The following is a 12,601-nucleotide window of genomic DNA, read 5'->3' as shown; positions in this document are numbered from 1 at the left end:
TCGAACTCCTGGGCTCAAGCAATCCGCCCAGCTCAGCATCCCAAAGTGCTTGGATTACAGGCATGAGCCACCATGCCCTGCCAGTCAAGATCTTAAAATACCTTTCCCACCTTCATCAAAATCCCAGGACCACAGGTCCAGATTATCTTCATGCCATATTGCCGAAGAACTAAGAGAAAGAGAAATGGAAGGCAGGGAGCCCCCAAGTCCTATAAACAAGCAGACGTGTTTTGTGACTAGAACTTATCACTGCACTAGTAAAGGTCCATCTCAAAAGTATTTTCTTTCTTCTCCTGTTACTGGCTGAATGTTTATGAAACCCTGAAATTAATGTTGAAGCCCTAACCTCCAACGTTACGGTATTATTAATAGGAGGTGGGGCCTTTGGGAGGTAATTAGGGTTAGATTAAGTCATGAGGGTGTGCCCCCATGATGGGCTTAGTGCCCTTATAAGAGCAAGAGCCGGGGGCGCTGGCTCACGTCTGTAATCCCAACACTTTGGGAGGCTGAGGTGGACAAATGGCTTGAGGTCAGGAGTTTGAGACTTGCATGGCCAACATGGTGAAATCTCGTCTCTACTAAAAAATATATATAAATAAATAAATAAAATTAGCCGGGCGTGGTGGCGTGGACCTGTAATCCCAGCTACGAGAGGCTGAGGCAGGAAAATTGCTTGAACCCAGGAGGCGGAGGTTGCAATGAGCTGAGATTGCACCACTGCACTCCAGCCTGGGTGACAAAGCGAGACTCTGTCTCAAAAAAAAAAAAGAGCAAGAGACATAAGAGGCTAAGAGGGCATTAATTGGGGTGGTAGACCGGCAAGAAGACAGAAGACAGTTGCCTACATGCCAGGAAAATGACTGTCACCAAGAACCCGATCTGCCAGCATTTTGATCTTGGACTTCTCACCCTCCAGGACTTCAAGTAGTAAATGTTTGTTGTTTAAGCCACCTCGTCTATGGTATTTTGTGACAGCAGTCCAAGCAAACTAACACACTCCCCTAGCCTCAAGCATTTTAACCTTTTCTCCATTCATTAATACTTTTTTCATAGGAGGGCACATAGACATAAAACATCAATCTATGGTATAATTTAGAAGCAGCCCCTCAGGTAATCTGGATATACTCTGCAGCCCAGTTGAGTGTAAATGTATAAATCTAGTAGTTCTCAAACTTCAGTGTTCATCAGAATGGCCTAGAGGACTTGTTAGAACATATTGACAGAGTTTTGGATTCGATAGGACTGGCCAAGGGTCTGTGCTTCTTAACAGGACCTAGTAATGCTGATGCTGGTGGCTAGGGACCACACTGAGAACCACTGCACTAATCCACTTCTCAAGCTGGAACAACAAGTGGTGTGTGTGTGTGTGTGTGTGTGTGTGTGTGTGTATGTATTATTTTATTTTTTGAGATGGCATCTCGCTCTGTCGCCCAGGCTGGAGTGCAATGGTGTGATCTCGGCTCACTGCAACCTCTGCCTCCCAGGTTCAAGCGTGATCTCGGCTCACTGCAACCTCTGCCTCCCAGGTTCAAGCGATTCTCCTGCCTCAACCTCCCAAGTAGCTGGGACTACAGGCATCCGCCACCACGCCTAGCTAATTTTTGTACTTTTAATAGAGACGGGGTTTCACCATGTTGGCCAGGATGGTCTCGATCTCTTGACCTTGTGATCCACCCGCCTTGGCCTCCCAAAGTGCTGGGATGGCAGGCATGAGCCACCGCACCCGGCCTGTGTGTTTTAATGCACTGATAGGCCGGGTGCGGTGGCTCACATCTGTCATCCCAGCACTTTGGGAGGCCCAGGTGGGTGGATTACCTGAGGTCAGGAGTTCCAGACCAGCCTGGCCAACGTGGTGAAACCCCGTCTCTACTAAAAATACAAAAATTAGCCAGGCGTGGTGGCACACGCCTGTAATCCCAGCTACTCGGGAGGCTGAGGCAGGAGAATTGCTTGAGCCCAGGAGGCGGAGGTTGCAGTGAGCTAGATCATGCCACTGCACTTCAGCCTGGCCGACAGAGCGAGATTCTGTCTCCAAAAAAAAAAAAAAGTAAGCAAGCTAGCCCTGATAGCTGGCATAGTGACATGTGCTTGTAGCTCAGCTACTTGGGAGGCTGAGGAAGGAAGATTGCTTGAGGTCAGGAGTTTGAGAGTGGGCTATGATTGTGCCTGTGGATAGCCACTGCACTCCAGCCTGGGAAACAGAGAAAGACCCTGTCTCTAAACAAATTTTAGTTTAAAAAAAAAAAAAAAAAAAAAGCATTACAGTAACTCAGATGTAGCTAAAAACTAGGGAAAATTTTGAATTCGGTAAAGACCAATACTAGCTTTAACCACTCAATTCTATCTCTCCTGAATTGAGAAGCAGGGCCAGTGGGAACCTGGGGTCCTGGGTCGGGGGTGCTGTTGAGAACTTCCATGGTAGTGCTGCAATCTTCCTACATCACCCTTCTGGCCTCCTGGCTGGAGCAGGGTGGTAGCATTCCAGGGGTGCTGGGTGCAGGGGAGGAGAATGTGAGGTAGATTGGTGGATGCACAGGAGGAAGGTGGGAATAGTGGTATCAACTCTCCTGGAGGCTTGCTTCTGAAAAGGACGGCTGGAGAGTGGGAGAGATAGTTGTGGGATTGACCAATCAGGAGTCATGTTAGAATTGTATTTGATAAACGAATAGTACTTTCACATATCTAATATTTACCATAGCTTCAAGGTAGATATTTTTCCTCATTATATAGTTGAGAATACAGATTCAGAGAAGTGACTTACCTAAAGTCATACTGCCCTAAGAGAACTTTAAACCTAGGTTTTAGAGATGACTCTGCTATGAAACTTTGTATGTGGCACTCAACTTTATGTGTTCATTTCCCCCAAGTGGCAAATTAAGACAATAATCCGCTGGGCGCGGTGGCTCACACCTGTAATCCCAGCACTTTGGGAGGCCGAAGCGGGCGGATCACGAGATCAGCAGACCGAGACCATCCTGGCTAACATGGTGAAGCCCCATCTCTACTAAAAATACAAAAAAATTAGCCGGGCGTGGTGGCGGGCACCTGTAGTCCCAGCTACTCGGGAGGCTGAGGCAGGAGAATGGCGTGAACCCAGGAGACGGAGCTTGCAGTGGGCCAAGATCGCGCCACTGCACTCCAGCCTGGGCGACAGAGCAAAGACTCCATCTCAAAAGAAAAAAAAAGACAATAATCCCTGCCTCTTCAGCAAGTGCTCCAAGTTTCTGGAAAAGTAATATCACTCTGCATATACTTTCATAATTCAAGTCACTTTCACTCAGATCAAAGTGAAAGACTCTGGCTGGGTGCGGTGGCTCGCACCTGTAATCCCAGCACTTTGGGAGGCCGAGGCAGGTGGATCACAAGGTCAGGAGTTCAGGACCAGCCTGACCAACACAGTGAAACCCCATCTCTACTAAAAATACAAAAAATTACCTGGGCGTGGTGGTGGGCACCTGTAATCCCAGCTACTCAGGAGGCTGAGGCAGAAGAATCACTTGAACCCAGGAGGCAGAGGTTACAGTGAGCCGAGATCACGCCACTGCAATCCAGCCTGGGCGACAGTGCAAGACTCCGTCTCAAAAAAAAAAAAAAAAAAAAAAAAAAAAAAAAAAAAGTGAAGGACTGTATCTTAAAGGCTGAATCTCACTCTCAACCCCAAAAGATCCCTCTTGAGAAAGAGAGGACCGGGGACCAGAGGACCAGATGCTGCCAGTTCTCACCAATGGAATCACAAGGCAGCTATAAACCAAGTGCCATGGCCATTCATCGGAAATCCAAAACAACAAAACCCTAAGTGGAAGGGATGGAAGGGAATGACAGGACAGAGCTCTAGGCACGATGTCAAATTGTTAACTAATGGCTTTTCAGTCTTTCACCCCATTTAAGAGTTTCAGGCTATTGTAAAAATAATGTCCTAAACAATCTTGGTGCCTGAGTAATTTATTTTGGAGAAGCAAAGTTAGTATTTTAGATTGTAATACCTTTGAAGAGTCAGACAAACCTTGTCTACCTTGTCAGACAAACCCAACTCTACCTTTTACCAGCTATTTTCCCTAGGGCAAATTTCTTATCTTACTCTATTTCCTCATTTGTAAAAGAGGAAGATTAATAATAGAACCCACCTCCTATACAGTTTTGAAGATTAAATTAGGAAATTCATCAAGAGGACTAAGCATAATGCTTAGCACATAATAAGTACTCAAATGCATGGTGGCCATCATTTGAAAGTCAGGATCCTTGCCAGGCACAGTGGCTCACGCCTGTAATCCCAGCACTTTGGGAGGTCAAAGCCGGCGGATCACCTGAGGTCAGGAGTTCGAGACTAGCCTAGCCAACATGGTGAAACCCCATCTCTACTAAAAATACAAACATTAGGCCGGGCGTGGTGGCTTATGCCTGTAATCCCAGCACTTTGGGAGGCCGAGACGGGTAGATCACGAGCTCAGGAGTTTCAGACCAGCCTGGCCAGCATGATGAAACCCCATCTCTACTAAAAATACAAAAATTAGCAGGGCGTGGTGGAAGGCGCCTGTAGTCCCAGCTACTCGGGAGGCTGTGGCAGGAGAATCACTTGAACCTGGGAGACGGAGGTTGCAGTGAGCCGAGATCACACCACTGGACTCCAGCCTGGGCGATAGAACAAGACTCCATCTCAAAAAAAAAAAAAAAAAAAAAAAAAATTAGCCAGCCGCGGTGGCGCATGCCTGTAGTCCCAGCTACTCAGGAGACTGAGGCAGGAGAACCCCTTGAACCCAGGAGGCGGAGACTGCAGTGAGCTGAAATTGCCCCACTGCACTGCACTCCAGCCTGGGTGACAGAGCAAGACTCCGTCTAAAAAAAAAAAAAAGTCAGGATCCTGGTGAGGATCTGTGACCCAAGAACAGATAAACTACCTACAGAATTGTTCCCCAAAAGCTTTGTAATATGGTTCTCTTTAGAAGCCTAAATTCCTAAACAAGCACAATGTTAGAAATCTGGAGACTAAAAGCCGGTTATCCAAACCTAAATTACCAAGAGTTTCACATAACGCTAGATCAACCTGTGAACTCCAACACCTTAGGACCAGAACAGAATGTTGTCCAAAGGGCAAGAGAAAAAGACATACATATTTGCCAAAGAGACACAGTAATAAACCAATTCCCAGCATTTCTGCCCTGTTCTCTAAGGACAACAGAAAGCAACAATGTCTACCCCAGACAGGAGAAATCACTGGGCAAGAAGAGCCCAAAGATATATCTGTTTCTTCCAAAAGGAAGCATCCAACACTATGTGGCCTTTAATCCCTCTACCACGTGGCTGAATTTGCACTTTTCTTAAAGTCAAAGTACACGGCAGTTGAGAGTAAACAGCTGGGCCCAAAGGCACTCATGCCCGGCAAGCACGTTGTGACCTCAAAGAAAACATGAGCAAAATAAAAACACCAAGCACACACCAAATGGGCTTTTAATTGACTGATATCACAACAACCCCCAAGCACCCCTGGTGCTAGATCTTAAGGGGAAAAGAAGGGTTCCTTTTAACAGAGATGCCTATAAACAAGCAAGCTGAAAACGAACAAGTTTAAGAGAGAAAAGCATACAAAAATCTTGGCTGCTAGTGATGAGCCATGGAAAATCATGAATCTGCCAGTGCCAAGGGAGGAGGAAGTCTAATATCTAACTTTGCAGACTTGGGAACATAAAAGCAACAAAGCCATAAGGAAGCCCAAATGCAAAAGAGAGAAAAAAAGGCACATGGCACATTTCCTCTTCATATGGGTAGCAATTCAAGCAGCGCTTTGGGCCTGCAGAGCACTTAGCTCAGTACCCAAAGCCCCTTAGTATTTATATCAACATAACTTCCTGGAGGGTGACAAAAATCTGTCCTGGATTACTGGGTGATTTCTAATATGTACCATGACCAACACTAAGTCAACATTTTAGGGATCAAATTTCCTACTCTGCAGCATGTTGGAATGCATTCTTGGCATTAGACTTCTTCCCATTCCAGTCCACCCTTAGAAAATGCAGAAGCCACTGGGAAATAGACTCAACCTGTCCCAAGATAATATTCCAGCTATGCACAAGTGACTAACAAAAACAAACAGAAGTTCATTCAGATGTCCCTTCACATTCAGTAAAAAACTAATTTCATCCATTTAAATGGAGAGGAGGGGTAATTTCAGGAAGAATACTCAAGGCTACTAAGTCAATATTCACCCGAACTTGGATTCCTCTAAAACCTGGGAATGATCAGAGTTCAAGCCCCTAAACACCTGTAATCCATAGGAGGTTAACTATGGTGCCCAATTCTGAGTAACTGAAAACCCACTTTTGCAAAATGCCAAAATGGCAAGGCAAAAAAAGTGGAAAAGGTATTTCTAAACCAGAATGTTTATCCAAGACTCCAGTACTTTCAGCAGGTCATGGACCATTACTTGAGGGGGGGGGAAAAAAAAAAAAGGCTGGGCGTGGTGGCTCACACCTGTAATTCCAGCACTTTGGAAGGCCAAGGTGGGTGGATCACACCCGAGGTTGGGAGTTCAAGACCAGCCTGGCCAACATGATGAAACCCCACCTCTACTAAAAATACAAAAATTAGCCGGGCATGGTGGTGGAAGCCTATAATCCCAGCTACTCAGGAGGCTGAGGCATGAGAATCGCTTGAACCTGGGAGGCAGAGGTTGCAATGAGCCAGATTGCACCACTGTACTCCAGTCTGGGTGACAAAGTAAGACTCCATCTCAAAAAAAAAAAAAGGTCTGCAGTACTTCTGTACTGGAGCAGTGTAACCAATCCTTCTCCAGGTAGAAGCATTACAGTGGCCTGGCACTGGACATGCCATGCATCTTCAGCTGTTAAGCATCCACTGATGATCCTTGACCGGTGAAGTGCCAAGGCCCAACCACAGATCGACCAGCAGGTAAAGAAACCAAAATCACTATATTCCAGAGGCTCCACAAGGATTAAGCATTGGTGAGCAGCATTTGTTAGCTGCTTGGCCATAGTAACCTAATAAAAAACAAATTTTTTTTTTTTTTTTGAGACAAGGTCTTGGCTCCATTGCCCAGGCTGGAGTGCACTGGCGTAATCATGGCTTACAACAGCCTCAACCTCCTGGGCTCAAGCAATCCTCCTGCCTCAGCTTTCTAAGTAAACTGCGACTACAGGCACGTACCACCACATCCAGCAATTTTTGTGTCTTGTAAAGATGGGGTCTCCCTATGTTAATAGCCTGGTCCCAAGGCTGGTCCTGGGCTTGGGCAATCCTCCCACCTTGGCCTCCCAAAGTGCTGGGATTATAGGTGTGAGCTACCGCGCCCGGCCAAAAACAGTATTAAAGGCCATTTCTATGAATAAATGGGCAGACTGCATATGTGCAGGCTTACCTAACCCATCAACCTCAATATAAGGTCTAACACAAGCAACTTGACTTGAACACAGCTCCCAGCTCCTCAGAAATAGCAGCCTAAGAGTCCCAACAGATACTTACTTCGTGGCTCTTGTTTTAAGAAAGGTCAACTAACTCTGCCAAGACAGACTCACCAACAAAGTTGAACCACCATTACTACAGAGCTGTCCAGGGCACACAACTCTGAAGGTGACATGACCTTCCAAATCCAAATTTACTAGAAAAGTGCCCCTGAACTAGCCAAGAACTTAACAGTCTGTACCAAAGGCTCTACCTGACCACAAGAACCACTAAGACCCTGGAACCACTCTTTCAGGGAGTTTTATGGTTAGAGTCCAAATTCTCAAAGTCATTGGAACACTGAGACAGCTACTGGTCTGGAGATGGATGTGCAATGTGGATTCTATCAAGCCCATGGAACTTAAGAATAGCATTATGAAAAGGCAAATTAGTATTCTAAGTTTCTTGAACATTTAGCTTCACAAAAAAAGCCTCTGAAAAGCTGTCCCAGGTTAACCCTGCCAAACTGATTGAACCTTTTCCTCTAATTCCTTCAGCTCACATAATTAGTGTGGTCTACATCCATTTATGAAACCTTGCTTTTCAAGTTTTCCAGATGTGTGCACATAAGCATGCTTTCCTAAGAAAACTAAATGCCTCTGAAGGAGATATTGTTTCTACCTTTTAAATCTCTTCCTAGTACCTAGCTGGTGTAATCACATAGGGCTATTTCCCATCCCCATTGGAATTTCCTGATCTCTCTGACTTAGAAACTATGCTCTCAGCAATAAGTCTGAAGTTCCTAATACCCTCACTACCAACATACTGGGAAAGGACCATGCAATATTAAGCAACCTATGTCAGTGCCAATCCAAGTTTTTGTGTTTTGTATTAAAACAAGCTGATAGCCTTTGGTAGTAAGTTAGCTGAACCTAAAAATCATAGTCAGGACCATAATTACATTCATATTCCCTGCTACTATATAAACAGCTAAGTCAAAAGGGCACTTCCAGGACTCTGGTGTAAAAAACACTTCTTATAAAGAAAACTGGTGTCAGAATCAATGAATCTAGTTAAAAAAGACATTCTGAGAAGGCAAATCTGGTCATCTCACAAGGCTACCAAAGAAGAGGACCACAGACAGACAGCTAAAATATTCATAGATTCTTCTTCTTCTTCCATAAAAAGAATGTGTCACTGAAGGAACCCAGATATGTTTTTAATCCTAAAATGGCAATTTCAAAAACAAAGACTGTATCTACTCACATAATCCTTCAAGTAAGATGTAGTGAGTCCCCAAATATTTGGACTTTGTACTGACCCAGGAACAGAGTGTAAAGGCATATTAATTTTATCATAAGTGATACACAGAAGTCCAGTAAAAACTGTATAAATAAACCCAGGCCATTGGGTAGTGGACTTATAATCCCCAGCACAACAGCAAAATTGAGGATAAAGATCACACTCAAGTTGCAGTATCTTTTTTCTCCTTTCTAATATTCCAGAAATGCAAACCCAAGCCAAAAATAATCTCACCAAGCTACCCTTTAAACCTCAAAGTCTCATAAGCCAAGTGTCTGGGGTAATACTTACCTTACTATTGACAGTCAGGATCTTCTTTCCAAACTTCTATTTTCACTATGAAACTGCAATTGACTTTAACAGGATACCACATGCCCTGAACTTAGCACGCAGCCAGGGCCACAGAGGTTTCACTACCAGGGCAGCATCTTTCCATTTCAATTTTTTTTTAGATCACTTCTTATCTCCACACTCACTGCCCCCCAGCACTACCCTTTTCCTATCCCCAAGTCTTTTTCCCCAATGTTATTTTACTCCACCACATGAGGAGGCTAGCATTATCTTTGCTTGAAAACTGTTTATTAATTTGCCTGTCAAACATTCTATAGAACAGTTTACATCTTACTACAGAAACCTCCTGGGTACATATTGACAGCTCAGCAAGTATTTACACAAAGCTCTGAAACATTTGGTTCCTTCAGAGACGATAGAAGATGCTGTGTCAAGCACAGAATTATCAAACACTGTTCCCTCTACCCTTTTCCCTCCTTTATAAAGGGAAGCTTCCTTCCTCTAATATACCTAAATTACACTTCTAAACTACTAAGCCAGGAAGAGAAAGAATGGAAATTCAGGTGTGCTGGAGAAGAGAAAGAATAGCATTTCCAGGACCACGTGCAAAGCACACCATGTAGTTTTTTAAACCATAGCGATGAGAAACAACAAATGCACCTATGAAATTGACCCTGAAACGCAGCTTTTCCTCTTCCAGTCTCAGGAACATTTGCTTCTCTCTCAGCAAAACTTACAGGGCAAGTCCAGGCACTCAGATTACAACCAACTGCCCAAACCAGACCTAGACCTGCCCAAACACCAGGAGTCTGGAGAGCTTAATGCTCCCTCTCTCTCCCTACCCCTCCCCAAAAGCAGCAGAATATCAACACTGAACTTATGAATATCCATTCCTCACCCCAACCCCAAGTGCAAAAGCCTCCTGGGGATCCTGAAGCAACTATTTTTCAAGTCTTGCTTTAATGAAATCTACCTAACTTTCCAACGACTATTTAGTGTTTTAAAACCACCAGCCAGGTGGAATGACTAATGACAAACAGATTAACAGTTTCAAGGCAACAGTCTGGTAGAGCTTTTTCTGTAAAAGTCTACAGACCACAATGGCACCCAACTGTTCAGAGCTTGTTCCTGTGAATCCCAGGAGAAAATAGCTTTGAGTTCCTTCAGTCCAGGGGAAGAAAGATGGTCTCAAGACCCCTGATTTATGTACAGAAAGCTGCCTTCATAACAAGCCAGCTATGGAAGCACAGATATGTAGCATCTTAGAGTGAGAAGGCCATGCAGACCAACTTCATTTTATTGATGAGGGAGAAAATGAAAAATAGAGAAAGCAAATGACCTGCCCAGGGTCACACAGCTTAATCTGGAGCTGTATGTGGAACCTAAGCCTCCTCCTTCCTCCTCCTGTTGTGAGTCCTGTGCTCTTTACCACTAACGCAACACACAACTCAAGTATGCATCAGTAATAACAACGTAAGTGTGCGTCAGTAATGATAATGACCAATCTAAACAAGGAAAAACCCAGAGATAAAAGCCACAGGAATCAGGACTCCATTCAAGCCCCAGGTATTACAGCTCACTGGCAGAAAAGAACTACTCGGTGCCAATATATTTGAATACCACATTTTTACCATATTTACAAGCTTCAGTTGCTTCTAGAATTTTGAGAGTTGAAGCCAATCAATACAACCTTTTGAGGGATGGGAACAGGAAAGAGCCCTGCCTATTACTTTGTTAGCCTATTCCCTCATTCTAAAAAAGTTCACTAACCTCTTTGCAAAAGGTCTACTGTAGACATTACACCTACAGGAGTCAATCCAACATATTAATGTTTAATGCAATCCAAGACATCCTGTTTCAGCAGGTGCTGCTTGTCATGGTTACTCATGTCACACACAAAGAAAGGAACCTAAAAAGTCCTCACAGGGCCCAATACACAAGAAGCCAAACCTGGTCCTGGCTGCTTTCTCTGTTCTCACACCACCATCTCAATCCTCATCACCCCAGCTCTCTCATGAACAGTAGAGAAACATGAAACCCCCACAACTAAAGTGCCATCTCAGTGTGGTTTTCCTGGTCCCTCCTACTTGAGAGAGCTCCAAGAGTCCTGTATTTCAGCCAGCCTAGAATTTCTGCCAGTAGGCATTCCCATAATAAATCTAGGATTCCTGTATCTGTTTCCCAGGAGTCAGAAATATCATTTGATGTTTCCGTAGTAGAAACTAACAACCAAACTTCTACAATAAAATCCAACTTGTTCCTGGACTATTTATTGTATTTTATTTTTTACCTTGGTAAACTGGTATTACTCTCAAAGTATTATTGCTAAAAAGCGTCCCAATAAAAAGCCTTAAATCAACTTCATGTGTGTAAGTAATCTAAAACTATTTCATCAGTACCGGGATTCAACACTTGAGATACACTACTTATGAAAAGGAATAAAGTAAAAGTTTGTCTAAGATCTTCCCAGGTCCTGTGAAAAAGACATAGCCACAATACACACACTTACCTAAACTTTATTTCATAAGCGCAGAGTCAAATGAAAACGTTATCACCTTAGCTGTGTTAATTAAGTCTCTGCAAAATATTCTTAATCTAAGACTGCGCCAGGAAAAGATGGAGACAGAGCAAGACTTTTTAATTTAAGAATGTTGAAGAGTAGAGCATCATGGTCTGAAAAGAGGTTTATCAAGTAGCAAAGAGAAATTCAGAACAAAGTCTGAACCTACAACCCTCACCTAGACTACTACCACACACCTGAAGCAGTCCACAGAAGTGGAAGCTGCACTGTCTCTTACACAACTGAATGCTCACCAGCCCATTCCCTGGGTCTCTGGGGAGTAGACAACTGAGCTGAAATTAATTAGGAATCTATGTTGTGTGGGTCTAGTGATAATAAAAGAGATCAGAAAATTCATCCAAAGGCAGCACAGACAGGCATCCAAACAGGGACTGTATCTATTCTCCTATCATCTACACAGAAAGTGTTCCATAATTTACTGACTGAAAAACAAAAATCATTATACCAAAAGAGTTGGCTTTTTCTTTAAAACCTTTGACTAAATATTTCCAAACCAGCAGAATTCCAATCAATTTTGCTTTTAAATGAACCCTGACTTACTACCCCAAATGACTTATTCTAATAGTTTTCAAGAAAAGTAAAATTTTCAGCCAAAACCAAACAAAACAAGGGGAATGAGAGGAAAGAGGTTCAGACTATAGGATGACCCAGAGACAAGAGGATGCTGTCTTTTAAGACAAAACTTTTCCTCCAGACACTAGAAAAACAATGTAACATTTCCCTATTTCTTGTCCAGATGCAGAACATCATGGAAGATGTAGAATCAAGGCACAGAGCTCCAAGCCCACCATCTAACACAGCTAATTTCAAAATCCCCAGCTCAAAAGAGTAGTAAAGTAGCTCTAGGATGGGCTGGGAATACAGCTAGTAAGTGAACAAAATTTCCTCCTAGCACAAAAGCGCAAGGGGTTTGGGAGGGGATGAATGGAGCTTCCCCCTCTTTGAAAACATGTATGACTCCACAGAATACTCAATATCCCTGACCAAAAGCACTGCTGACAGAGCATGATGAAGATGGAAGAAAAGCAACAAAAT

At 43.7% G+C, this 12,601-nt stretch overlaps 1 protein-coding gene across 2 annotated transcripts in view, besides 2 other annotated features; it reads right to left on the bottom strand.

The window, feature by feature from the left end:
* ARID1A (AT-rich interaction domain 1A) overlaps positions 1 to 12,601 on the bottom strand; it is an 86,090-nt gene that overhangs the window by 70,222 nt on the left and 3,267 nt on the right. The gene's annotated exons all lie outside the window — the stretch shown is intronic.
* Positions 3,968 to 4,467: an enhancer, noted in NCBI's record as "H3K4me1 hESC enhancer chr1:27033907-27034406 (GRCh37/hg19 assembly coordinates)". NCBI's record gives its function as "activates a minimal SCP1, AML or CMV promoter by ChIP-STARR-seq in primed H9 embryonic stem cells {active_cell/tissue: H9 hESC(primed)}" and the evidence as "EXISTENCE:reporter gene assay evidence [ECO:0000049][PMID:30033119]".
* Positions 7,591 to 7,885: a silencer, noted in NCBI's record as "tiled region #12508; K562 Repressive DNase matched - State 5:Enh". NCBI's record gives its function as "represses a minimal TATA promoter and a strong SV40 promoter by Sharpr-MPRA in K562 cells {active_cell/tissue: K562}" and the evidence as "EXISTENCE:reporter gene assay evidence [ECO:0000049][PMID:27701403]".

This window comes from Homo sapiens, chromosome 1, assembly GCF_000001405.40.
Source record: "Homo sapiens chromosome 1, GRCh38.p14 Primary Assembly".
NCBI lineage: Eukaryota > Metazoa > Chordata > Mammalia > Primates > Hominidae > Homo > Homo sapiens.
This window is presented reverse-complemented; position numbering and strand designations above follow the sequence as displayed.